Raw genomic sequence first — 26959 nt, 5'->3', positions numbered from 1 at the left:
AGCGGGTGCTGTGTGGTGCATTTTTCTCAAAATATTTTTTTCAGGAAGCTGCTTTCTAGGTTATTATTTTTTGTGGGGGAGGGGATAAGAAGGAAGGGGTAGGGGGGCAGTGGCTAGGGAGAGGGCGATCCTGGGACTCACAGGAACCTCACTTCAGAAACCTTCCTTTCTGCTAAACCTGTCTGCAGCCCCACAACTTCCAGCCGACCCTGCGCCCTTCCCCTTTCCGCTCACCCAAAGTCCTCACCTCTGGGCGCTTCCCACTGCCCCACAACCCTTTGCCCGGGATGACTGAGTCCTGCCTCCCACCCGCAGTGGGAGCGCACCTCTCATCCCGCCCAGCGGCAAAGGGAAGCCCCAGCTGCCTGAGCTGCCCAAGGGGGCCGGGCAGGGATGCCCCAGCCCCCTCTCTCAGTCCAGCCCAGCTCCCTGACGCTGCCCTGGCCGAAGCCACCGCCCTCACTCCCTAGCCCTCGCTCCCCAGCCTCGCCGAGACACAGCGGGCAGTGGCACTTACGGACCGGGAAGGGGGCCCGGGCCCCAGCGAGGCAGCGGCGCGGGTGGGGCGGCTGTGGGGACCGCGGCTCCGCCACCCCTGATCAGGCGCGTTCCCGGGCTCAGGCCCAGCTCTAGCCGCCCTCCGGGCGCCCCTGCCCCGGCGAGCGCATGGCAGACAGCTGCGGGAGGCAGGCACGGCAGTGGCGGAGCGGGGGCTCCTGGCCGCGCGCCGCTTCTCTGGGCTCTGAGCGGCTCCCAGCGCCGCCTTCTCGGGCGGGCACGGCCCGCAGTGACGTCAGCGCGGCTCCCCCCGCCCCCCCCTTCACCCCGACCAGTGCGGAATGGAGGCGGCGGAGGAAGGCTGTGAGGGGCGCCCAGCCGTGTGCCTTGGCCTTTCCTCCCCACGCCCCGCTTGCCTCCCAGCTTTTCCCTGGGAGTCGCAACGCCATTCGTCCCCCCTCTCCTCCCCGCGCTGCCAGACTCACTCGGAGCCACCAACGACCTGGGAGGTGATGGCAAGCAGCGGGTTGGAAGCCTCGCTGGCAGCTCCAGACTTAGGGATCCGAGCTGCTTTGGGAAGAATGGAGAGCTGAGGGCATGAGGGTCGTCCACCTCCTGGCTGAAAGGGGGCGTCTTATCTTTCCCCCCAGCACAGGTGTTGGTTAGGCTGGGGATATCCACGCTGGATTGGATGGTCCCGGGGCTCCCGTGTGAGCTCAGAAGGGATCTTTTATCTCGGGAAAACGTGTCCCATTCGGAGCTGGGGATGCCCTCTAGGCTGGGTCCTGCTTCTTCAAGACCCAGAGCAGCCCTGCGGCCCTCCTACCCGCCATGTGCCCGAGGCTGTTCACCGGCAAACTCGCTGGGCCGACTGCGCCCCAGAGCCGCTGTCCAAATGCTGAATCTGGCCTCCCCTGGGCTGGCTCCCGACGTCCCGCTGCCTATGGCTCCGCGTTTCCCTCAGGGGCAGGCAAGGGGTTCTGGGACGCACAACGCGGAGGCCCCAGGAAACTTTGGGGCTCCAAGATGACATTGGAAAGCTTCAGGATAGGGGGCGATCGGTCGAAGGGAGACAGAAGCCAAGAGAGCAGGCAGAGCAGCGCGCCTGGCACGCCGAACCACGCGCCCTTGATGACTCGCCCCGGGTCCCCTCCGCCCGCCCGTGTGTGTTTCTCCCACTTCCACAGTAGGGGAGGTCCCTAGGCTGAACTTGTCAGCGGGTCTCACCATTCATCACGAGCCAGACAGACAGGCCAAGTTCATGAGCAATACTGTTAACCCCTTGCAAGCCAAGCACCTCTCACAGGAGGAAGCCTCCTGGCCAGGGAGCGTTCTCTAAGGTTCCAGAGGCACTGCCTCCCAGGAACGTGGCAGCCACCGCTCCTTTCTTCTTTTCGGCTCGTCTCCTAACCATTTATTCCGTCATTTTATTTACACTTTTGGTTTCCACAGTCTTTCAAGTTCCTTCTCTTCTAAGTTAGTTTGATACCAGTATAACTGACTGCCTTTTAAATGTCTTCTTTTCCTACGTTGTGGCTGTGTTCATTGTGGAAACATTAGAAAATTTTGAAAAAATGAAATAAAATAATAATTGGCCCTATATTTTACACCTAGAGGCCTGACTTTAAAATACAAACTATATATTCTCATAGAAGAACCTAGATTGCTGGTTGTGCGGGGTGGGGAGTGAAGAAGGGGTGGAGAGAGAGAACCCAGTCTTTCTGAACTGGATGGGGAAGGAAAAACAAAAGCTCTGCGAAAGGGCTCAAAGAGGGAGCCCTATCCTCCTGTTAGAGGAGCCAAGGAGGGAAGCAGCGCCATGTAGGGCTAGACACAGGGGCCCAGACACCCCCTCCACTCACTGGTTCCTGTTCTAGCTCCAAAGCCCTAGGGAAGCTTCTCCTGGCCTTGACCGTGTGTGTGTATGTGTGCGTGTGTGTGTTGTGGGGGGAGGTGCTCTCTGCCCTGGGCGAAAGCTCAGTTCTGCTCCGGAACCCCAGCCATCTCCTGGAGAACTTTATCTGATTCTCCTTGCGGTCTGGTAGACTTGGGCCACCCCCTCCCCCATTTCCTATTGAATTCCTGGCGTCTGGTAGCTGGCGGCAACTAGGGCGACCTACCAACTTTTCCCCTGGGCATTTTCTCACTCCCTTCACCCCCCAGTGCTTTCTTTTCTTCTCCCAGCGCTCCTTTTGAAAGGAGGCACCCAGGCCGAGAACGTGTTCTGCAGTTTAACTACTTCCAAATTCTTTGTTCAGGTCACCCCGGGACTCCATTGTCCGCTATTGAGAGCGCGGGCAGGCCGCCGGGTGCGCCTCTGCCGTGCAGGCCTGAATCCATTAGGCCACCGATCCGGCCCCTGCGGCCCATTGACGCGCCTCCCTCGCCCGAGCGCCTGTGGCCCCCCTCCCTTCCCCTCCGCTCCCACCCTCAGCTGCCTTTTGGACTCCGCGGTGGAGTCACAGAACGCTGCGGGTCCGCCCGCGGGGGTTATTTGGGTCTCGCTCTGTCTTGAGGGGCTGGTCACGGTGCAGCCTCGGATGATTCTTGTGGGCTGTGTCCTATCCTGCAAGCCTCTTCCGGGGTGCTGCCCAAATTCTACTGCTTGGCTGCTGGGTACTACTTGGACCTGCAGGGCAGATTTTGTGGGGGCTGCAGCCCCAAACTCAGGAATGGGGGTGGGGGAAGAACAGCCAGCAACATCCTTCCTCCAGCTTCTCCAGCTTTCCAGCTGCTCCCCCACAGCCCGGATTTCTGTTCCTCTCTTTCCTCCAGGCCTGCGCCCTCGAGCTTCCAGTAGGGTCAAGCCTCTCCTGAGCTGGGGGAATGAAAGGGGGGCCATCCAGTTTCAGGGGGTAGCACAGCAGGGAGGGCCGGCCGGTTCCTGCCCCAAACACGCGCTCATGACGCCCTCGAAGGCTGGTCTCCTCAGGAGGGTGACTTTCCCCCAGCTCACTGGAAAAGAGGCAAGAGTCGCTCTGGCCTCAGATGCACGTTCCAGGCTCCCAGGGTGACAGGGTACGGCTAGGGGGAGGAGGCTCATCCGCCCCTGAAGCCTCCTCCTCTCCTGCCTCAGGACTCAGGGAGACGCAGAGCTTGGGAGTCCCCAGGGGGCTCAGCTCTGAGGTGCGTGCCTGGGGAAAGTCGAGGTTCAGAGGAGCAGCGCCCCCAGAGCCAGTGTCCAGAAAAGTATGGCTTGCCGTTGCGTATCTTTTTCTCGGCGCCTGAAGGTTCCCTAACCCCGTAGCGAGCCTGTTCCTCCTGCTGTGGGGTTACTGGGTCACTGAGTCCAGGGCGAACATCGACGCCCAGCCACGGGGCTTCTCGAAATCACTCGGGCCTCTGCTGGGGCCCGCCTTCTCCAGTCTGAGAATCGGCCAAACCCTTCCCGGAAGCTTAATTCCAGGAGAGAGCCGTGGAGGAGCCACGGAGGCCGGCGCGGGTACCAGGAACGGGGGCGCAGGGAAACTTGGCCGGAGAAAGGGTGCGGATGGGGGTGCAGGGCGCAGAGGCGCAGGCTGGATGGTGGGCGCCACTCCCCGCCGGCCGAAGAGGGAGGGAGGGAGGGAGAAGAGGAACGGGTGGTCTCCGCCGCACCTTCCCTGACAGCTTGGCCAGGACCGCGGGTCGCGGGGCGCGGGGCGCCGGACCTCGTGGAACCGCCGCGGCCTGGATCGGCTGCGAGGAGCCAGCTAGCGCCCCCTGGCGCCTCCGCCGAGCCCTCACAATGCCGTCGCCCAGTCCCCCATCCCGCCGGATTCCAGACCTGAGGCTGAGGAGGCTGGTGTCCGCGCACCCCCGAGACCTCGCCGGACTACGCCAAGCCTCTTAGAGGACGTAGGAGCTCCTGAAGGTCTCCCACGCTCCAACCCACGGCCTCCGCTCGTCCTGCCCACCCGCCCCGAGTGCTCCAGTCGGCGGTGCTGACCTCGCAGCTCTTCCGCCCCATAAGCTTGGCTCTGCGCGCTGTCCAACAGCGCCCTCTGGTGGGCGTTCCGGGGAGATGCAGGTGAGCGCGGCTGAGGCTGCCACCGATGTCGAGAACGGCTCGGGACCCGCGCAGCGCGGGCGGTGCTTGGGCACCTGCCTGGCGGTTTGTGGCTAAGTGTAGGGGACGAAGATGCAGTAATCTAAGGAGAGCTGGGCACCTCTTTGCCTCTCAACCACTACAGGTCAGGAAACAGAATGAGGGACAGGGTGAAATCTCACCTCCTCTTCCACCTAAGACTGGCACCTCTGCTATCTTGGCCTCCTTCAGGAAGGCTTTCTGGAGACTGAAGCGGACGGGGCAGGTTTGGGACCTTACCCTCGATTCTTGCAGCCTGGCAAGAACCCTGCCTTCATGGCAGGTCCAGTCCATTTGCAGCTTTGCCCTCCCCATCTCAGTGGCTTTCTTTTCCGCCAGGGTCCCTCTCATATCTGCAGGGCCTCAGAAAATTAAGAAATAAAAGCCCTTTCTCATCAGATCCGGAGATCCCTTATTCCAAGGGCAAGGTGGGAGATGGGCAAGAGGTAACGATGAGATGAGCGAGCAAGGCCCGGGATTTGGAAGGTCTGGAGATGTTTCCCCAGGCTCCCAGCCCCGTGACATGAGTGTCCTTTCAGGCTCAGCATGGTGTTCTGTCTTCAGTCTGGCCACGCATTTCGATGGCTTTTTGACATTCATTCACTTATTCATTCAACATATATGTGCTGAGCTCCTGCTATATGCCAGGCACCGCTAGGGATAAAGCTCAGAAAGGGTAAGTAATGTGCTCAAGGTCACACAGCTGGAATCTGCCGGAGCCACAATGCAGCCCCAGCCACTCCAGCCCTACCTCTCCCCTCTCACCTGGATGACTTCAGAAGTCTCCTAATTGGGGCTCCACCTCAGAACTCAGCCCCCTCCAATATGGCATCCACACTGCTGGGGAGAGAGCTTTGTAAAAGGCCAATCTGATCATGTCTCTTCCTTGCTTGACAAGGGTCTTCTGGCTCCAAGAGAAAGCCTCGAGTCCCTCACAGGCATACAAGCTCCCCCTGAGACTTGTCCCCCTGAGAGCCTTGTTCCCATTTTCAGGAACCCGACACTCCAACCATCCCAGGCATCTCTCATTTCCTTAAGGCCCAAGCTCTTGCACCCCTCCCTGCCTTTGTGTGACCCTACAGTGTCTCTGCCTGGAATACTCCTCCCTCTGGGGTGTCTTTCAGATTCTCGGTGAATGTCACTCCTCCATGAAACTTTCTGACCTGAACATATCCATCGTGGCCTCTTCCTTCACCTAAAGACTGGATGGGCCTAACTGGCCATACTTCTATGTCCTTCATCCTCCCTTCCCCGCTGACAACTAATTAATTGAAGCTGGCATGGCCACTGACCCCCGAGGGCTAATCCCTGGTCTGGCCTGAATGTACCAGGGTCTCTCCTGAGCACTGAAGTGAGACCTGGACTGGGAAGGTGTGCAGTGAGCAGGGGGAGCTCAACAGCCTCTGGAGTCAGTGCTGTGGTCAGGTGATAAGGGGACAAAGAAACTGGGAAAATGGAGCAGGCGAGTCAATAAACTAGCGGAGAAAAGGCCATGGGACTGGCAAGAGATAAAGGGCAAGAGAGAGACTTTCTCAGATGGCTTATGCCCTGCCCTAGCAGGAGTCTTACTCCTTTCCTCTGGCCTGCTTTGCATAGGATTCTGTCCTCTGCTCCTGCCAGCCCTCTGACCCCAACCCCCTTCTGCCAAGCCCGGCCCTTTTTCTCTGTGTGCCTTCCCGCCTAAGCAGCCCCTGGGCTGTACTGCAGGACATCTAGCACGTCTCATGGTGGCCAGCCTCCTGAAGGGCTGGCACCATTCAGAACTGGCATAATTCAATTTCCCCAGAGCCAGCAGCAGGCACGCCACCACGTGGCAATTGTGACAAACACAGTTTGCAATCCATTTGGACGCCAGCTCAGAATGATGAGTTTATTGATTAACGTTTAAAATGTTTTAGGATTTGCATTTTTCAGATTTGTTCACAGGGTGAGAATTTGCTAACAGTTAACGATTACCGAGTGGGTATGCTGTGCCAAACACGACTCCAAGCACTTTGTTATTAATCTTCACAGCTGTGCTTATGCCAGAGCTGCTCTTACTATCCTCACCCGGCAGATGGGAAAACCCAGGCACAGAGAGGTTAAGCAATTTGCCTCAAGTCTCAGCTAATCAGCAACTGAAACAGGATGAGAGCCCAGAGTCCAAATTCCTAGACTCTATGTTACACTGCCTTTTAATAATAGTTCAACGCACCACTGCACTCCAGCCTGGCGACACAGCAAGACTCTGTCTCAAAATAATAATAATAATAGTTCTATATTGTCCCATTCCTGGTTCACATAATCCAAATGTCCATAAAAGAAGCCAGCCAGTGCTTATCAGCAGACTCTATTGCAAGCCTCTTTCTTTCTTTTTTTTTTTTTTTTTTTTGAGATGGAGTCTCGTTGTGTCACCCAGGTTGGAGTGCAGTGGCACAATCTCGGCTCACAGCAATCTTCACCTCCCAGGTTCAAGCGATTCTCCTTTTTAAAATGCCAATCTGATTGTGTCTCTTCCTTGCTTGACATCTGTCGGTAAGGGTCTTCTGGCTCCAGGAGAAAGCCTCAAGTCCCTCACAGGCGTATGAGCTCCCTCTGAGACCTGTGCCCCTGAGAGCCTTGTAATCCCCAGTAGCTGGGATTACAGGCACCATCACGCCCGGGCAAGCCTCTTTCAACTCATCTGCTTCCCCCATATGACTGTGAACCCATTGAGGGGAGGAATGCTGTCTCAATTATCCCCAAACTCCCGGCTCCTGACACAGAAGACACAGTCAACATTTGGTGTATTGAAAAATGGCAACTTCCAGACATAAGAAGCTGTGGAAACACCCAGCATGTTTCTATATGTTTTCTTTGTTCCCATGGCAAATTCTGGCATCTCTCTGAAAGAGACTGCAACAAAAGCCTTTGAATTTTTCCACACACAACGCCCCCACACAATGTACCCTGGGGCAAGTTTTGGAGAAAAAAAATCTAGGGTTCCTATGGACCACAAGTTTATCACAAACAAACAATTTGGTGGCAAGAGTGCTAACAAAGTTAGTTAAATGCCAACCTGTACTGTACAAACTAGAAAAGCAAAACTACTTTACCTAGATGCTCTTCAAACTAGTATTCTGGATATGAATTAGATGCACTAATTAGAAGCAATTTGCAAGGGGAAAGTGAGGCAGGGGCCATCTTCCAGCTGCCTTTAAGCAATGCAGTGGAGATGTGGGGCTTTTCCACCAAGATGCTCCAGCATGCAAGTCTTCTGCTTCCTGATAGTCTAGAAGCAATGTCATAGTTGGCAGTGGTGACGACTTTTTTTTTTTTTTTTTTAGACAGATTCTCGTTCTGTTGCCCAGTCTGGAGTGCAGTGGCACAATCTCAGCTCACTGCAACCTCCGCCTTCCGGGTTCAAGCGATTCTCCTGCCTCAGCCTCCCAAGTAGCTGGGACTACAGGCGCACACCACCACGCCCAGTTAATTTTTCTATTTTTAGTAGAGATGGGGTTTCACCATGTTGGCCAGGCTGGTCTTGAACTCCTGACCTCAAGTGATCCACCTGCCTTGGCCTCCCAAAGTGCTAGGATTACAAGTGTGAGCCACTGTGCCTGGTTGTATGATGACTTTTTGATCCCTGGACCACAACCACAGCAGTGTGTTCTTGAAGTCAACAGTTCTATGGGACGGCTCTTAGTTTCCTACCTCCCAGGTAGTGACGGAAGTGGTAGCTCTTGCAGCCGGCCGGCTACTGTGTTCTGGGTGTCATTCCTGCAGACCTAGTCCACAACTACTTTTCTAGCCATTCCAACAATTTTGTAATCGCCTAATTCCCTATATTAAGTTCCTTTCTGCTTAAAACATCAGCATTGTTTTTAGTTCCTACACAAATCCTGGTTGATATTGTGTTTTTCCTTCCTTTGTTAATTTCCCAGACACTTCTTGGATATGTGGCGCAGATCAGGCAGTGCACTGGGTGCTCATACCAGGAGACTGGTAAACAAACAGCTCCTGGCCGGGCGCGGTGGCTCATGCCTGTAATCCCAGCACTTTGGGAGGCCAAGGCAGGTGGATCACCTGAGGTCAGGAGTTCAAAACCAGCCTGACCAACAGGGTGACATGGTGAAACCCTGTCTCTACTAAAAATACAAAAATTAGCCGGGCGTGGTGGCGCACACATGTAATCCCAGCTACTTGGGAGGCTGAGGCAGGAGAATTGCTTGAACCTGGGAGGCAGAGGTTGCAGTGAGCCGAGATCATGTCACTGCACTCCAGCCGTGGGTGACAGAGCAAGAGTCCGTCAAAAAAAAAAAAAAAAAAGAAAAAAAAGAAAGGAAAGAAAAGAAAAGAAAGAACAAACTCCTGCCCTTCCCAGACCTGTGTGTGGAGACCATCCTCGGGATGGCTGCTGCAGTGGACAGAGCTGGTTCTCCACCCAGATCCCCTCCCAACCTGCTTACTGGATCTGTCTGTCCATCCCCCAGCACCTGCAACCTCCTTCAGAGGACTGGAGCTTCATCAGCTGCATGAGCAGAGCTGCAAGTGCCTGGGAGTTTATGCCCTGACCCCAGCCCCCAAGCAGCCTGAAGCCAATGATGTCTTGTGCAGGAGTAGGAAAGCTCAGCTCCCTCAAGCGAGGACAAGCTCTAAGGTGCAACCCACACTCTGAAGCCCTCCACAGGATTAGGCTGAGGCTGAGACTTCACTGGAAATCCCATCCTTCCCTGGCTTCTGCCCCTTCCCTGGCCTGCTTCCCCCACTCCCTAGTTCTCCTGGAAGTCCTTCCCCAATAAATTATCAGCATGCGGATGATTGGGGTCTGCTTTAGGAAATGCTGACCTAAGATGGGTACCATAAATTAAAAGGGGCAGCTGGGCACAGTGGCTCACGCCTATAATCTGCCAAGGCCGGCGGATCACTTGAGCTCGGGATTTCGAGACCAGCCTGGCCAACATGGTGAAATCCCATCTCTACTAAAAATACAAAAATGAGCCGGGCATGGTGGTGCACACCTGTAGTCCCAGCTACTCAGGAGGCTGAGGCAGGAGAATTGCTTGAACCTAGGAGGTGGAGGCTGCAGTGAGTCAAGATTGTGCCACTGCACTCCAGCCTAGATGATAGAGACTCTGTCTCCAAAAAAAAAAGGTGTGGGGTAGCATTGAGCGACTGAGCGTCCAGGCCAGTGAGGACTTTGGTCATCAGGCTGAGTGAGTAGACAAGCCTGGAAGGAGTTTGTCCTAGAAAGAGAAGACCGAGAAGGTGATTGGCCATTTTCTGCAACATCTGAAGGGTCCACCTGTGAGAGAGCGGGCGGAACAGTGTGGGGTCACTTCAGAAGTCAGAACTGCCCTTTGAGAGGGCAGATGGAACAGTGTGGGGTCGATCCAGAAGCCAGAACTGCCCTGTGCTGGTTAATTTCATGTGTCAACATGGCTAGGCTATGGTGCCAGTTGTTTGATCAAACACTGGTCTAGATGTTGCTGTGAAAGTATTTTTTTAGATGTGATTAACATTTAAATCAGTAGACTTTGACTGAAGTAGCTTATTCCCCATAACTTGCTGGGCCTCGTTCAATCAAGTGAAGCTTTAAGAGAAAAGACTGAGATCCCCCAAAGAGAAAGAGATTCTGCCTCCAGGTTGCTTTTGGACTTAAGACAGCAAAGTCAACTCATGTTGGAATTTCCACAGCCCCAAAATTGTGTGAGTCAATTCTGTGAAATAAATCTCTTTCTGTCTGTCTGTCTCTCTCTCTCTCTCTCTCTCTCTCTCTCTATATATATATATATATACACACACACATATACACATACACACACACACACATAGACACACACACATACACAGATACACACCCTATTGGTGGTTCTGTTTCTCTGGAACACCCTAACACATGCCCTAAACTGGGGCCGGCTTCAGGTTGGTAGCAGCCAGCAGGGTTCACCACAGGAGCCTGTCAAGTCAGGGCAGTGTAGACACTGAATGGGAGTAGGGGAGAATAGGGACCCACACCCAAGGGACATGCAAGTCAGCAGCAGGAACACATCCTAAAGGCTCACTGAGGACGGCCCTGCCGCCCTAAGCCCTAGCTGAGCAGCTGAGCAGAGGCCGTGGGGCAGTGGAGCAGGGGGACCAACCCCAGAGCCTTTCCTGGTACCTCTACAGAGAAGTGTGTTGACATGCCTGGCACCTGCCAAGTGGGGTGAGACTGGAGTTCCTCATCAGCTCCACTGGGGACTCTGAGCCTGAGACCAATGTTCTCATCTCCCCGACTCCCATTTCTACCCACTGCTTATTTTCTGTGGGACTTAGGCCAACTGACAACTTTTTTGTACTTGAGTTTTCTTTCTTTTTCTTTCTTTTTTTTTTTTTTGAGACGGAGTCTCACTCTGTTACCCAGGCTGGAGTGCAGTGGCATGATCTCGGCTCACTGCAACCTCCACTTCTCGGGTTCAAGCGATTCTCCTGCCTCAGCCTCCCTAGTAGCTGGGTAGCTGGGATTACAGGTGCGCACCACCATGCCTGGCTAATTTTTGTATTTTTAGTAGAGACAGGGTTTCACCACGTTGGCCAGGCTGGTCTCAATCTCCTGACCTCAAGTGATCCGCCCGCCTCGGCCTCCCAAAGTGCTGGGATTACAGGCATGAGCCACTGCACCTGGCCATATCTGAGTTTTCATATCTGTAAAATGGGCTAGTGGTAGTCCCCTCCTCACAGGGTTATTGAAAGGGTTAAAGGAGACTGTTTTTAGAAAGCACTGAGAATAATGGCTGCAAGTAGGTGATCAATCCATGTTAGCCACTGGCAGCTACTATAGTTGCCTGAGATTTTCAGTAACCTGATTTGCCCAGTTAGGAGATGGGCTTCCTGCAGAGTTGGTGAGCTCTCTGTTGCTGGATGTGTGTAAGCAGAACCATGAGGGTGGGTGAACCAGGCAGGAATACCCCCAGGCTGCAGGTCATCTGGGGCTTTGGCAACTGCATTCAAGCCTGTGTGCTGGGCACGTGACCCGGTGCTGCGCCCTCCTCAGGTTCTACCCTTCAGTGGATGCTGGTCTCCATCTCCTGCTTTCATGCCTCAGTTTTATGTCTCTGCCAAATCCCTATAACTTGGCTGCCTTTGTATCCCTTTTAGTGAGTACAGTGACCCTCCTGGCTAAGGCCACAGGATACCAACCAAGGTTTGGATACCACCCTCAGGCCTGAAATAAGTTTTCAGGTTCCTGCTCTGTCCTCGGAAGGAACCTGGCAGGCACTCTCCCTCTCTGCAGACATCTCTGCCTGTATTAGTGACTGCTGCAATCCCCACACTGTGACAGGTCCAGCTTTGACAGCTTGTAGAGCAACTGTGTTCAACTGGGTTTGCCTCCTGAGCCAGGGACACCACAGACAGTTTTGCAGTTTGGGAACTGCCTAACTCTGGGGGGGGGGGGGGCGCCCTTCACATGTGGCCTGGTCCTTCCCCTCAGCAGTGCATATTGCAAAGGGAGAGGAATTAAGGGGAGATGATGCATATCAGAAGATTTAAGTAAAGAGGAATGCCACTTATTAAAAAGTCCGGCCAGGTGCCTGTAATCTCAGCACTTTGGGAGGCCGAGGCAAGAGGATTGCTTGAGGCCAGGAGTTTGACACCAGCCTGGACAACAGAGCGAGACCCAGTCTCCACAAAAAAAATTAAAAAAAGAAAATTACGCAGGCATGGTGGCACGTGCTGTAGACTTAGCTACTCATGAGGCTGAGGCAGGAGGACTGTGTGAGCCCTGGAGATTAAGGCCGCAGTGAGCCACGATTGCACCACTGCACTTCAGCCTGAGCAACAGAGTGAGAAAAAAAATAAAAATAATAACTTTCAAAAATCCTGGCCAGTCATGGTGGCTCACATTTGTAATCCCAGCACTTTGGGAGGCCGAGGCAGGCAGATCACTTGAGGTCAGGAGTTCAAGACCAGCCTGGCCAACATGGCAAAGCCTCATCTCTACTAAAAATACAGAAACTAGCTGAGCGTGGTGGTGTGTGCCCGTAATCCCAGCTATTTGGGAGGCTGAGGCAGAAGAACCACTTGAACCCAGGAGGTAGAGGTTGCAGTGAGCACATTGCACTCCAGCCCGGGTGATGGAAGTGAGACTCTGTCTAAAAAAAACAAAACCAAACAAAACAAAATCCTAAGTTGAGATACAATTTCCTTTGTGGAAAAATGAAATTCTGCATTGTTTATGCAATGCACCTATAGAAAGTAAAGGTAAGCAAAACCTTTCCTTCTGCTGAGGCCTATGGAGAAGACCTTGATTCTTAATGGTGTGTGCAACCAAGGGGGAGGGCAGGAGACGCTTAGGTCTGTTAAAAGGTGATGGGCCAGGCACAGTAGCTCACGCATGTAATCCCAGCACTTTGGGAGGCCGAGGCAGGCAGATCACCTGAGGTCAGTAGTTCAAGACCAGCCTGGCCAACATGGTGAAACCCCGTCTCCAGTAAAAATACAAAAAAATTAGCCAGGCATGGTGACAGGTGTCTGTAGTCCCAGCTACTCGGGAGGCTGAGGCAGGAGAATTGCTTGAACCTGGGAGGCAGAGGTTGCAGTGAGCCGAGATAGCGACGCTGCACTCCAGCCTGGGCGACAGAGAGAGTGTTGCTCAAACAACAGATATTTGTTTCTTCTCAATTCTCATGGTGTTGGCAGGGCTGGCTTCTTTTGAGGCCTCTCTCCTCAACTTGTAGGTGGCCGCTGTCTTCTCCCCAGGTCTTCACCTGGTCTTCCCTCTATGTGTGTCTGTGTCCAGATCGCCTCTTCTTCTAAGGAGGACACCAGTCGTATTGGATTAGGGCCCACTCCAACAACCTCATTTTAACTTAATTACTTCTGTAAAGACCCTCTCTCCAATTACAGTCATGTTCTGAGGTGCTAACTCTGGAGGTTACAACTGTAACACACGAATTGAGGTGGGGGGACACACTTTAGCCCATAAGAGACGGGCACCATCCCAACCCCATGTCCCACCTTGGCTGGTGAACTGCAGCCTGCTGGGGCCAGTGTGGGTTCAGGAGCACAGGAATTGTTACAATGCAAAGACCACCTCCATCCATTTCCCCAAGTGTGTGTTCCAGGCTCACAGGCCTTAGCTGCCATTGGGTCATTGGGTCATTTGATCACCGGGACTCTCCTGCCCCGCTGGCTGAAGTCCCCACCACCATCCTTTCTGAAAGCCCGTTTTGATCCCTCTCTCCCCGAGAGACCTGCTGTCATGTTCTGACCACACACTCCCCTGTGCCCAGCTCCCACACACTCAGGAACCTGCCATCAGCTCCTTTTAGCCATGAAGTCCCGTCTTTACCTTGGAAACACAGGCTACACCAGGCTGACTCAGCCCTGATTTCAGCCTGGCTGGGGAGGGAGGGTGTGTCCTGCGCATTTCTCCTGCCCTGTCCCCACTCTGAGGCCAGCCAGATCAGGGGTGGCATCATCTCACTCCAAGCTAGAGTGGGTCAGAACGTCTGTCTCTCCAAAGGTCAGTTTCCATCTGCCCAAAGCCTTTCTTCTGGAGACAGGATAGTTCTAGATCAGGAGGGATTTTGTGGTGTAAATCAGAGCCATGTTCCCGGCAGCCTGTGCAGGTGGCATCTGTGGGTGTTCTGTCTCAGCTAAATCGAAACTCAGTGATGCCACCCTTCTGTGTCACAGAGGCGGCTGCCAGCCCTGCTAACGGGTTAGTCATCACCTTAGAGCACATGGATCTGCAGAAACCATCTGGGGTGAGGGAGACCATGTGTGGCAGGAAATAAATGGAAAACAGCCTCAATGTCCAGGCTCAACATCCCCGCAAATATTATTGGTTAAGGGGTCATGCAATGCACAGAAAAATAATCATATCACGGTGCAGGTGAGAAAAACAGGTTTGTGGGTGCATGGTACATGCTGAGAATTACAAATATAGTAACATCACGAAGTGCCCTCACCAAAATGTTGGCAGTGATTATCTCTGGGTGATAGGCTTATGGAAGGTTTGAATTCTCTTCTCTTTGTTTATCCATGTGGGTTGGCGGATGGATGGTGGTGAGGGCCAGCTTGGGTCTAAGTGGGAATCAAACAGTCCAGGCTGTCCTACTGAATGGAGAGGGTTACAGCCAGAAGGCTATTTTCTTTTCTTTTCTTTTCTTTTCTTTCTTTTTTTTTTTTTTGAGATGGAGTCTCACTCTGTCACCCAGGCTGGAGTGCAATGGCACGATCTTGGCTCACTGCAACCTCCATCTCTGGGGTTCAAGCAATTCTCCTGCGTTAGCCTCCCGAGTAACTGGGATTACAGGCACCCACCACCACGCCCAGCTAATTTTTGTAGTAGCTGGGCGTGGTGGTAGTAGCTGGGGTTTCACCATGTTGGTCAGGCTTATCTTGAACTCCTGACCTCAAGTGATCTGCCTGCCTCGGCCTCCCAAAGTGCTGGGATTACAAGCATGAGCCACTGCGCCCGGCCCAGAAGGCTATTTTCATGTTAGCTTTGAGAACTTTCTGAAATTTTATAAAGTCTGTAATAACAGTAATAATAATTGTAATAACAGTAATAATAATTGCTAACCTTTATAAGATCTTTATAAAGGGCCAGGTATTTGCCAGGCGGTTTGCATTAAATTTGATGCATAGGTACCACTGGTGTCCCCACCTTACAGATGAAGAAACTGAGGCCAAGAGAGGATAAGTAACTCACTGAGATCACATGGTACTAAGAAGTGGTAGAGCGAGGATTCAAAGCCAGCTTTTAGCCACTCATTCTGTCCACCCTTCAAAATACCCCATGGTCTCGAGAATGACTGTTTTCTGCCTGCTCACTGGAGGAGCAGGGTCCTCAGGTGCATTCTGGGGACCTGCTGGCTCTCAGGCAGTCCTCCGTGAGCCAACAAACTGTGCACCTTGTCTCTGAATCCATGTGAGATGTTCCCAGAGGCTCTGAGGATCATTTGGGGGTGAGGGCTGGGGTCACTGGCAGGAGCCCAGGAGTGAGGATCACTATGTCAAAGTCATTCCAGCTGTATCCACAGGCTGGCACTGCCAGGAGAAAGGCCTAAGGTGTGCAGCCATTCCTGCTTTTTTTGTCCTTGTACGAAACTTGAAAAAAATTACAAAAATGGCACATGCCTCTGATCACAAAACAAACAATGCAGAGGTGTATAAAGAAAAGATTGGTTAAGCCTAGTGGCTCACACCTGTAATCCCACATTTTCGGAGTGAGACTCCATCTCTTAAAAAATTATAAGAAAAAAAGAAAAGAAAACAGTCATTTTCCCTCTCCAAATATCCACTTCCATGCTTGATACACTTTCGGGGGGAGGGGTGGGAGTGAGGGTTGAGGGGTGTTTGAGTTACTCTGATTCCTCTGGGAGCCACATCTGTGTTACTGCCCCCTCCCCAAAACACACACATGCCTGTCTCCCACAGATGGTCCCAAAAGAACTATGGTCCTCACCCAGGCCCCAGGGACTGGTCTTAGGGTGGCAGGTAACCCAAACAAGACCCATCAGAGTCTTGGCCTGAAATTTTGTAAACTGGCTACAAGAGAGGGTCAGGTCTCAAAGCCAGGTGGATGCAAGGTGAGAGCTGCCACAGCCAGGGACCTGTGATAAGGAGGAAGCTGGTCTAATCTGTAGAAAGAAGGAACGAGAGCTGGACAAGACCCCAGTGACGTCAGGCTCCTTTTGTCCCGTCCCTTTCTGCAGTTTGGCTGTATGTGCTAATAAGTTCCCCTTTTGTCTGCCAAAATTGGTTTTAATTAGGCTTCTGGTGCTGGTAGCCAATAGAATCCTAAGTGATTTGTCTTCCCCTCTGTAAAATAAGGGGACCGGACAGGCTGGTCTATGGGGGGCCTGTTGGCGCTGGCAATGGGGGGCCCTTGGCCCTATGCGCTGGGATGAGCCGGGATCTGACCTGACTGTAGTTGTCTCAGCTCAGCGGTAAAGGGACCTCAACATGTACCTCCCGCTTCAATGTCAGGCATCCTGGCTCAGTCTTGGGATACAGCATTTAGGAGGTGGGGCCAAATGAATGAAAGGCATGTGGCTGCCTCCTCTGGCTCTCTCCTGCCATTATCTGAGCTACTGCTGGGCTGGCCAGCTCGGGGAGGGGCAGGGAAGCAGGCACAAAACCAAAGCCTCTGCTGAGGAGAGAATCTGCATGTGTCACTGCAGCAAAACCTCACAAGCCCCCTATGAGGCTATCACCTTCCCATTATAGAGACAAGGATGCTGAGGCACAGCAAGCTCCCTTGTAATTTGCTTAAGGTCACACAGTTTGGACAGGTGGAGCCAGGATTCAGACTCATTTCTTTCAGAAGCCTTCACTTCACGGCAGGCTCTGCTGCTCTTTGGCAAGGACCCTGACTCCCTCCAGGGCCTCTAGCCAGACCCAGGGATGGAAAAGAGCATCCTCTCTTGCCCAGTGGCTGGGCCACCAGGGACCCTGAAGCTGTGCCTCCGTGGATGCTGGCATGAAGCCTCAAGCCAAAAGGCTCAAGGGCAGGGCTCTCAGCCACATCTACCGCCATGTGGCCTCAAGCAGAGGGCTTCAAGAACCCCATTCCCTCATCTGTAAAACAGGGATAAAATGCCTCCGTTGCTTCCCTCGCAGTCAGAGGGGCCCTCAAGTGGGGAAGCCTGAAGACACTGTCCAGCTTACTATCTACCAGTCATCAGACTTTCGTGTGCCTTTAGGAAGAGTTGTGCCCTCTTCCACCCTGGGCCAGACTCATGTCAAGGGCTGGGGCCAGCCAGGTTGCTGCCACTTTAACTCTGTCCCAGGGACCAGGGTGGCAGATAACAGTTAACAGAGGAGGTAACAGTCCAATTGCCACCTCCAATTCCCACCTTTTTTTTTTTTTTTTTTTTTTTGAGATGGAGTCTCCCTCTGTCACCCAGGTTGGAGTGGAACGGCACGATCTTGGCTCACTGCAACCTCCGCCTCCCGTGTTCAAGTGATTCTCCTGCCTCAGCCTCCCGAGTAGCTGGGACTACAGGTATGCACCACCATGCCCAGCTAATGTTTTTGTATTTTTATTAGAGACAGGGTTTCACCGTGTTGGCCAGGATGGCCTCGATCTCCTGACCTCATGATCTGCCCACCTTGACCTCCCAAAGTGCTGGGATCACAGGCATGAGCCACCATGCCCAGCCGCCTTTTTTAGTGACCATTTTTTTTTGTCTGTTTACCAAAAAAAGCAAAAAATCCTTCCCACCAAAAGATTAAATGTGGAAATTTTAGAAAATACATTTAAATCTATATACAGCTGATTCTCATGATTCAGCATTTGTGAATTTGCCTACTCTCTAATATTTATTTGTAATCCCTAAATCCATAATCATGGCGTTTTCAGTCATTGGAGGGCATTTGCAGAGTGGCCATTTGTGAGGTTGAACAAGGGGACGCTCTGTCTTCTTGTCTCAGCTCTTGTGCTGTAAACAAATGTTCTTTCTGCAGTCTATTCCAGATCACGCTTTTCACATATTTGTGTTTTTTGTTGGTGGTTTTGCTGTGTAACACGGCCTCCCAGCTCAGTGCTGAAGTGCTCTCTACTGTTCCCAAGCACAAGTAGGCTGTGATGTGCCTTACAGATAAAATACGTATGTTAGATTAGCTTCAATCAGGCATGAGTTATAGCACTGTTGGCTGTGAGTTCAATGTTAATGAATCAACAGTATGTAGTAAATAAGGTGCCTTTAAATGGAAACACACATAACACAAGGTTATGTAGTGATCATTTGATTGAAATGTTGTGAGCAGAGGCTCACAGGAACCTAAATGTGTATTTCCTCTAGGAACGATGCTTCCATATTTGCTCATTCAATGGTCATGGTGACTTTATAGACCATAACTACAGCCAATAATGAGAACTGACTGTTTATTCATCAGTCAGGGATGTCCATGATATTCAGCTGAATGATAGCTTTCAGTTACAGAATACTGGGTATTGGATGATCCCATATTTGAAATAAGTAAATAAATAAAGTTTTTTAAAAAGGCCTCTGGGTCAGGTGCAGTGGCTCATGCCCATAATCTCAGCACTTTGGGAGGCCAAGGCAGGAGGATCACTTGAGGTCAGGAGTTTGAGACCAGCCTAGCCAACATGGTGAAACCCCATCTCTACTAAAAATACAAAAATTAGCTGGGTGTGATGGCACACGCCTGTAGTCCTAGCTACTTGGGAGGCTGAGTCACGAGAATCCCTTGAACCTGGGAGGTGGAGGTTGCAGTGAGCAAAGATCATGCCACTTCCCTCCAGCCTGGGTGACAGAGCAAGACTTCGGCTCAATTAAAAAAAAAAAAAAAGTCTTCTGTTTGTGTGTTTTGATGTTTGTTGGAACATGGAGAAAAGAGTGAAGAGATTCTACCTGGCTTTCCTGGGTGGAGGGGGAGCAATGAGAGGGGGAGATGATTAAAGCTTTTCTGTTCTTTTCTTTTTTCCCTTGAGACAGGGTCTTGCTCTGCTGCCCAGGCTGGAGTGTAGTCCAGCTATGGTGCAATCATAGCTCACTGCAGCCTCAACCTCCTGGGCTCAAGCAATTCTCCCACCTCAGCCTCCCAAGTAGCTGGGACTACAGGCGCATGCCACCACACCTGGCTAATTTTTTTATATTTTGTAGAAATGGGGGTCTCATTCTGTTTCCCAGGCTAGTCTCAAACTCTTGGCCTCAAATTATTCTCCTGACTCAGCCTCCCAAAGTGCTGGAATTACGAGTGTGATCCCACTGCACTGCCCCTTTCCTTTTTTTAAAAGTTTTAGTTTAATATGCTATTTAAAATATATATATTATATAAAAATAATGTATTCTTTTTGAACAGGTAACAAGTTCACAATTCAAAACTGGAAAGCCACAACAGGATTTAAGTCAGAGTCTCCCCCTTACCATGTCCCGCCACCTGGAGGCATCAATGGTGTCAGTTTCTTGTGTTTCTAGGAAGGGATGGAGACTTTGGAGCTCCCCTCAAGAGTTTCAGGGTGGAGGTGAGGCCATGGAGGTGATGAAGAGCCAGAGTTTGCTGCTTGGATCTCGCCCTGGGGGCGCCTGCCCCTTGGTGGGTCCGGCCTCCCCTCCCCAGCCTTATCTTCCCATCTGAGCAAAGCAGGGTGCCCCGGTGACCCTCCGTGCTGTTCCTGACTGGGGCTGGAAGTGCGTTGACAGCTTCCACCATGCCTTCCCTCTCTGCCCCCACCTGGTGGAGCTTAGGTTCAGATATGGGGGCTCCAGCCTGACCATGGCCTCCGCCATCCACAGGCCTCTTCATGGCCCATCAGACCCAGGGCTGGCAGGAGGCTAGACAGTCTTGAAGGGGTCATGGAGTCTGGGCTCTGCCAGGTAAAGATGGCCCACTCAGGAGCCCAGGTAAGGATGAGCCAGGACAGCCAGACCCCACCAACCTCCAGAGTGAAGGGTAAGGAGCCCCGTGTTGGTGTGTCAGGGCAGCCACCTTTGCTCTCTGATTCTTGCAATGGGACACAGTCCTCAGCAGGTTGTCTGTCCTTGTCCCTGCCTCTTGGGCACTGGTCATACCTCAGTGGCCTTTGTTGACATTTGGGAGCCACTGAGTCTTTCTGCAAACCCATGGAGGGGCAGCTGATCCCCATCTTCTCTTCCTGTGGATTCCTGGGGCTACCTGCCTAGCCCAGGGCCACACACACCAGACGCACCCCTTGTCTGGGGCCAACAGGCTTCATCAGCAGTTTCCCACCAGCCCAGGCCCTCTGCTTTGCAAGATGCTGCTGGTCCCCGAGCTGAGGCAGTTTAGGCCCCAGCTGCTAGCATTCAGCCCCTCTTGCCTGTGGCCCCTAGACTCCTGAGAGCAGGGTCAGAGGTTGACAGTGGTTTGCAGGAAGTTTTCAAGGGTAGCCAGGGCTGGGAGCGGTGGCTCACACCTGTAATCCCAGCACTTTGGGAGGCTGAGGCAGGAGAATCACTTGAGCTCAGGAGTTTGGGACCAGCCTGGGCAACATAGTGAGACTTCATCTCTATTTTTAAAAAGGAAAATATATTAAAAGATGATGTGATTATTATTTTTTAAAAAAGCGGTAACCACGCTGGACGCGGTGGCTCATGCCTGTAATCCCAGCACTTTGGGAGGCCGAGCCGGGTGGATCATGAGGTCAGGAGTTTGAGACCAGCCTGGCCAACATGGTGAAACCCTGTCTCTACTAAAAATACAAAAATTAGCCAGACGTGATGGTGGCACATGCCTGTAATCCCAGCTACTCAGGAGGCTGAGGTAGGAGAATCACTTGAACCCAGGAGGCGGAGGTTGCAGTGAGCCGAGATTGTGCCACTGCACTCCAGCCTGGGCAAAAGGGCAAGACTCTGTCTCAAAAAAAATAAATAAATAAAAATAAAATAAAACAAAAACAAAAAAACAAAAAAATCTCAGTCTGTTTCCTAGTTCTTGGTCTGAACTCTGAATGATACAATGGGTACAGAGGCGAAAAAGAAATTTATTCTCACTGGGGTGGTTCATTTAACAAATACTGATTGGGCACCTCCTAATGCAGGCCCTGTGCTAGGTGCTGGGGATGTAAGAGAATCCAGACAGAACCCCTGGCCTCAGGAAGCTCCCACTTTGATGGGGGAGAAGGTTAAACAATCTTAGTGCCTGCAATCCATGCACAAGGTGGAGTGGGAGCCCAGAGGAGGGCACTGGAACCAGTCAGCGTTCACCTGCAGGAAACACAGACCTTTCCAGATATTTTAATGAGAAAGAGACGTAGTACAGAAGATTAGGTGCTTAAAAAACTTTGGAGGGGCCAGACAGTGGGTTCTCAGTGGGGCCTCCAGAATGACTTCCAGAATGCCACAGAACTGCCCTCTAGCAAATCAACAACCCCGGCCACCATCCCAGCCACTCCTGGGACTGCTGACTTGGCATCACTCTAGTCCTCCAAGCACTGCGGGGAGAACTGCCTGAGCTTCCACGGCCGGGATGTTCTGCCAGCCTCCTCATCACCACATGGTGCAGCACCAGCTCCAGTGACGCTAGGCATCCTGTCCTCTCAGATGAGAATGGCCAGGGTCCCTTCTCACAATTCCCTAAAGAAGGTGATATAACTGGGATACTTTGTCACCATCTGCTTTGGATCAGCTCTATTGGCTGAGCCTCCCTCATGGATGTTTGTTCTCCCTCAAGCCTGGCTGACGCATGCCTACCTTGCTCAGGCACCTGCCTGTGTCCAGCCAGCTGTGGCCAGGGGAGCATGGCCAGATTCCTGGGAGGTGGGGCATGTGAGAGTGGCAGGCCCTGCTACACCTCTTGGCAGGACTCCACAAGGTAGTTTGAGCTGCTTCCCTCTTTATGCTCAGATAGCAATGATTATGTGATCACAACTAACCTCTGCCACCTCAAAGTCTTTCTGGAACAAAGCGGGCAGTAAATAAATAAATACAGACCAATCCAAACTGAAGGACCCTTTGCAACCAAGCATGTCCATCATTTTCCCTGAAGAAAAAAAATACAGAATCTTTCCTGCAAGTCCTGACAATTAAATGAAAAAGCAACGTGGCTATTTGCTTCCAGACACAGGATGCGGGAGACGATGCTCCCTGACACGTTGAGTACCTGCTCGCGGAGCCTTGCTCTTGTTTTCTTCCATTGCTTGGATAACTGAAACACTTTTCGTTCCTGGGATAGGATGGGTGATTCCCCTTTCAACAGGAGAACAACACCATTTCCACAAAAGTTCTTGACCCCAAGAGTTTAGCCCAATATATTCCTCAAAAGAAGGAAATACACTGTGAGAAAGAAATACCCACTTCTCTTCACCCCATTTATACTCAACCCATGTTTTGAGCTGAAAAGCTCCTGCGATAAATAAATTGCCAAAAACGCATCTACCGTCTGCAGCAGGCCACAGACAGTGGGTTGTAGGTCAAGGCTGTCAGCCAAGGCTGCTGTCGGCGGGCAGTGCTGTGCTGGGCTGGGCCTGGCTGGGATCTAATAGGTCAGGAGGTGGAATGTACAATTTTGCAGCTGGTGAAACAGGCCACAGGGCCCTGGCCAGGGCTCAGAACCCATGGGCGTTTCAGTCATTCAGAAACTGAAGGTTCTGCCCTTCTCTCTGAAGGACACACTGCCCTGATGACATGCTTCCAGAATGGATCCTTCTATTCAAGTGTCCGCTCTTTTTAATTTTTAAACCATTATTTTAAAAATTTGTTTTTAGTAGAGATGGGATTCACTGTGTTGCCCAGGCTGGACTCAAACTCCTCGCCTCAAGTGATCCTCCTGCTCAACCTCCCAAACTGCTGGGATTACAGGTGTGAGCCACAAAGCCTGGACTTCGAGTGTCCACTCTTTTTTTTTTTTTAAGTTTTTGAGACACAGTCTCACTGTGTCACCCAGGCTGAAGTGCAGTGGTGCAATCTTGGCTCACTGCAACCTCTGCCTCCAACCTCTACTTCCCGGGTCCAAACGATGCTCATTTTTTTTTGTATTTTTAATAGAGATGGGGTTTCACCATGCTGCCCAGGCTGGTCTCAAACTCCCGAGCTCAGGCAAACTGCCTGCCTCGGCTTCCCAAAGTGCTAGGATTACAGACATGAGCCACCGTGCCTGGCCCAGTGTCCACTCCTATTGGAACTTTTTTTTTTAGTAATTTATAGAAATGTTACTACTAGAAATCAATATTTGTTTAGTATGTGTAAGTATGCAAAAATATATCAGAGATGGCAGTTTAATTTTTTTGCCTTTTCTAGTGACATACACATGTAGACTGAGATTCTTGGGGTTAACATCAACATTTTCAAAATTAAATTGTCTTATTGACTCAGAACCTCATCTTTGTCTTAAACTATGAGACATTAATGGAGTATCACCTTATTGCACATTGCTCAAAAAGTTTCTTTCTTCTGACCAAGGAACTTATATTCAGGTATGACTTTTTGTAAGCTGGTTGACTTTCTTACTGGTGCTTGTTGTTTTTTTTAACACATTAAACTAAATGATATATCAAATGTATATTATATATTTTAATATATAAATTATATGTTGTATAGTTATATGTAGTTGTCTATATTTATATTGTATATATTATATATACATAATATATAGTATATATTATGAAAAGTGACAGGAGTTTTCAATTTAGGGCAGAAATACATCACATTTCCTTTAAAAATACTTACCTGTACCATAGATACCTCCAGTATCATAGATTGTTGTGGAGCGAAGGTAATATTATAAGTAGTTGCAAATGACAAACTACAAAGCATTTTGCAAATCTAAGAATCTCACCTACAGCCTAGCTAGTCTCATCTCAGTGAAATTTAGCTGAAGACTTTTTTCAAAAAGTTCATTCATTTGTTTAGCAAATATTTAATAAGCACTCAATCAGTGAGAGCTCTTTCCACCACAAGTGACAGAAAATCCAGCCCAAACTAGCTAAAGCAAAAAGACGCTCTTGCCATTGGCAATTTCAACATTGACTGGATATTTGATGATATGAAGGCAATGCCGTTAATTTTTTTGGTGGAGTGTCCTGATTGGCTCAACTTAGTTAATAAGCCTTGTCCCTAACTCCCTGAGCCAGGAGCCTTGGTCAGGAGCTAAGGAGGGACAAAATGGGATGGGGACAAGAATGACAGACGTCTGTCTCTGTGTGCCAGACATACAGATGACAGGGCACAGTTTCTTCCCATCAGGAAGCTTCCCAATCCTGAAAAAATTATTTGCATTTCAATCAATTTCTTTTTGACCTGTTCGTAAACTGTGTGGAGTTGATGGAACCAATTATTCCCCCCGAAATATGAAGCATGTTTTGAAAACAGTCTATGGCTATCATCCTGAATTCCACACATAGGTCACAAGGTCACATTCTCATTTTTTTCTTTTTATAAGTTTTATTTATTTTTAATTTTTTTTAGAGATGAAGGTCTTGCTATATTGCCCAGGCTAGACTGGAACTGCTGGGCTCAAGTGATCCTCCCATCTCAGCCTCCTGAGTAGCTGGGAATACAGGTACATACTGCCACACCCAGCCAGTTTTAAAAAAAATTCTTTATCTTTTTTAGAAATGGGGGTCTTGCTGTGTTGGCCAGGTTGGTCTTGAACTCCTGCCTCAAGCTATTTTCCTGCCTTGGCCTCCCAAAGTGCTGGGATTGCAGGCATTAGCCACCATGCTTCACACTTCTTACTTCACACTTCTTACTGGAGTCTATCTTCTCTCATCTGTAAAATGAATAATAACAGCACCTACTTTATGGGGTCATTGAAATGATTAAATAAAATGGTGCTCTAAAGCGTTCAGCCTGGTTCATTTGCAAGTGGTAGCTGTTGATAAAGGAAGAGTGGTGATATTTTCTGTCTGTGGCAGAAATTGCTGGAGTTGGGCTTGGCAAACCTGAGAGAAGACCATGAAAGTCACCAGGAAGTAAGCACACGAGAGGGACTCTGGAGGAGCAGGCTGTCACCTGAGGGCCCCTTACTTAGTCAGCAGCAGTGATGTAGGAGGCCACATCAGTGTGCACGTGCAGCGCCTGGCACACAGTTGTGCAGTAGGGATCCTCTGCTAGCATCATAAAGCCAGTATTTGCCGTGTAGTGCAGTTGCTGAGATCCTGGTTTCCATGAATTCAAATCCCAGCTCTACCAATGACCAGCTATAGGGCTTTAGGCAAGCTGCTTCGCCTCTCTGTGCCTTAGTTTCCTCATGGGTGAAAGGGGATAACGGTACCTCTATCCAAGGGTCGATGTGAGGATTCACTTAAGTGACATATGTGAGCCCTTAGAACAGCACCTGGCAGCTAGCAAGTGCCGGTTATTACCAAGCTCCAGGCAGGTCCTGGAATTGAGCTCAAAATAAGACACAAGGTCAGTCCCTATGGGCATTTACAGCAGTGGAAGGGGGAGATTTTTAAAAAATCATCATTAGTTACAACTGAGGTACATGCTTTGAAAGTACAGGGTGTTCTGGCCCAGCGCAGTGACTCAAGCCTGTAATCCCAGAACTCTGGGAGGCCAAGGCGGGTGGATCACTTGAGGCCAGGAGTTCCAGACCAGCCTGGCCAACATGGTGAAACCAGTCTCTACTAAAAATACAAAAATTAGATCCACATGGTGGCACACACCTGTAATCCCAGCTACTCCGGAGGCTGAGGCACGAGAATCGCTTGAACCTGGGAGGTGGAGGCTGCAGTGAGCTGAGATCACGCCTCTGCACTCCAGCCTGGGCACAGAGCAAGACTCTGTCTCAGAAGAAGAAGAAGAAAAAAAGTACGGAGTGTTTTGATGAGGACAGGGGTCCTAATGAACTTTGCCTCTTGCTCTGTGGGGGGAGAGGTCCAGGGAATTGTGGGAAAATGTAACTGTTTCTCAGGAACCACTATCAAGGACAGACTTTTCTAGAAGGACGTGGGGGAGTTCCTAGAAAAGGAGGCAGGGGAAGTGGAGGAGCTGGGTTCAGAAAGGCCTGGAAACAGGGTGTAGCCTGGCAGGAAGGGTGCAGGCCTCCAGGTACCCTCCCTCAGCAGGAATCAGTATCAACCGTTTTTGTCCTTGTTGAAGATTCTAATTCCAGGACCAGGGCACTAGGCTAGTCTCAAGTAGTCTATGGGAGGAGCAGGCATCTTGATGGACATCTCCTGAGACTGAATCTCAGGAGAGGCCAATCAGGCCCAGCAACAGCAGCCCCTGTGGACAGTTGGGCCAGGGGTTCTTAGCTTTTTTGTGTCATAGACACCTTCTTAGAATAGTGTGTTTCTTTCTTTCTTTTTTTTCTTTTTTTTGTTGTTGTTGTTGTTTTGGTGGGGAGTGGGGAGATGGAGTCTCACTCTGCTGCCCAGACTGGAGTGCCATGGTGCAATCTCGGCTCACTGCAGACTCTGCCCCCCGGGTTCAAGAGGTTCTCCTCCCTCAACCTCCCAAGTAGCTGGGATTACAGGCGTGCACCACCATGCCGGGCTAAGTTTTGTATTTTTTTGGTAGAGATGGGGTTTCGCCATGTTGGCCAGACTGGTCTTCAACTCCTGAGCTCAGGCAATCCATCCACCTCAGCCTCCCAAAGTGCTGGGATTACAGGCGTGAGCCACTGAACCTGGCCTAGAGTAGTGTTTCTGTTTTTAATTTTTTTCTGTGAAATATGTTTTATTAATTTTTATTTCAATAGGGGTACAGGCAGTTTTTGGTTATATGGAAGAATAGTGTTTTTAAGCACATAAAACATGAAGGATTACAAAGGACACCAAAGGTATTCAAATATTAGGACAAATAGGTAAACTTATTAACTAACAGGATCTAGTGGCAGTCTAGTAACCCCTGTTATTTTGAAGTACAGATAAGTGCAAACAAATTTTGAAAAATGTGCAGCACTTGTAATGCGTTATGAAAATATCTGTGGTTGCTGGAGGGGACAAAGTCACAGGCACTGTTAATACCACTGTGGCTGACAGCCTATGCTCATAATTGGAGGAAATGCCAAGTA

General features: G+C 50.9%; 2 long non-coding RNA genes across 21 annotated transcripts in view, besides 6 other annotated features; one reads left to right on the top strand and one right to left on the bottom strand.

The window, feature by feature from the left end:
• MIR9-3HG (MIR9-3 host gene) overlaps positions 1–1674 on the bottom strand; it is a 36910-nt gene extending 35236 nt beyond the window's left edge. For 15 of the 20 annotated variants that reach the window (NR_190324.1, NR_133003.2, NR_190318.1 and 12 more), the window contains exon 1: positions 518–744. This is a non-coding gene — a long non-coding RNA (MIR9-3 host gene). Of the gene's footprint in view, positions 1–517; positions 745–983 lie in introns of those variants that run through there. The other 5 variants (NR_133002.2, NR_190323.1, NR_190325.1 and 2 more) reach the window with 2 other exon arrangements.
• Positions 3974–4023: a silencer, noted in NCBI's record as "silent region_6795". NCBI's record gives its function as "represses an Ori minimal core promoter by ATAC-STARR-seq in GM12878 lymphoblastoid cells {active_cell/tissue: GM12878}" and the evidence as "EXISTENCE:reporter gene assay evidence [ECO:0000049][PMID:35858748]".
• Positions 4084–4143: a silencer, noted in NCBI's record as "silent region_6794". NCBI's record gives its function as "represses an Ori minimal core promoter by ATAC-STARR-seq in GM12878 lymphoblastoid cells {active_cell/tissue: GM12878}" and the evidence as "EXISTENCE:reporter gene assay evidence [ECO:0000049][PMID:35858748]".
• Positions 4201–4495: a silencer, noted in NCBI's record as "tiled region #10069; K562 Repressive DNase unmatched - State 4:PromP". NCBI's record gives its function as "represses a minimal TATA promoter and a strong SV40 promoter by Sharpr-MPRA in K562 cells {active_cell/tissue: K562}" and the evidence as "EXISTENCE:reporter gene assay evidence [ECO:0000049][PMID:27701403]".
• Positions 4204–4483: an enhancer, noted in NCBI's record as "active region_10050". NCBI's record gives its function as "activates an Ori minimal core promoter by ATAC-STARR-seq in GM12878 lymphoblastoid cells {active_cell/tissue: GM12878}" and the evidence as "EXISTENCE:reporter gene assay evidence [ECO:0000049][PMID:35858748]".
• Positions 4587–9340, top strand: LOC124903549 (uncharacterized). The gene is made up of 2 exons (XR_007064750.1): positions 4587–4670; positions 9016–9340. It is a non-coding gene; the product is annotated as an uncharacterized LOC124903549 (long non-coding RNA).
• Positions 13555–14754: an enhancer, noted in NCBI's record as "P300/CBP strongly-dependent group 1 enhancer chr15:89891730-89892929 (GRCh37/hg19 assembly coordinates)". NCBI's record gives its function as "activates an origin of replication core promoter dependent on BRD2, BRD4, P300/CBP, MED14 and CDK7 cofactors, with strong dependence on P300/CBP, by STARR-seq in HCT116 cells {active_cell/tissue: HCT116}" and the evidence as "EXISTENCE:reporter gene assay evidence [ECO:0000049][PMID:35650434]".
• Positions 26244–26413: a silencer, noted in NCBI's record as "fragment chr15:89880071-89880240 (GRCh37/hg19 assembly coordinates)". NCBI's record gives its function as "represses an EF-1alpha promoter that drives an FKBP-Casp9 reporter gene in an ReSE screen in HepG2 liver carcinoma cells {active_cell/tissue: HepG2}" and the evidence as "EXISTENCE:reporter gene assay evidence [ECO:0000049][PMID:32094911]".

Source organism: Homo sapiens, chromosome 15 (assembly GCF_000001405.40).
Source record: "Homo sapiens chromosome 15, GRCh38.p14 Primary Assembly".
NCBI classification, from domain to species: domain Eukaryota; kingdom Metazoa; phylum Chordata; class Mammalia; order Primates; family Hominidae; genus Homo; species Homo sapiens.
This window is presented reverse-complemented; position numbering and strand designations above follow the sequence as displayed.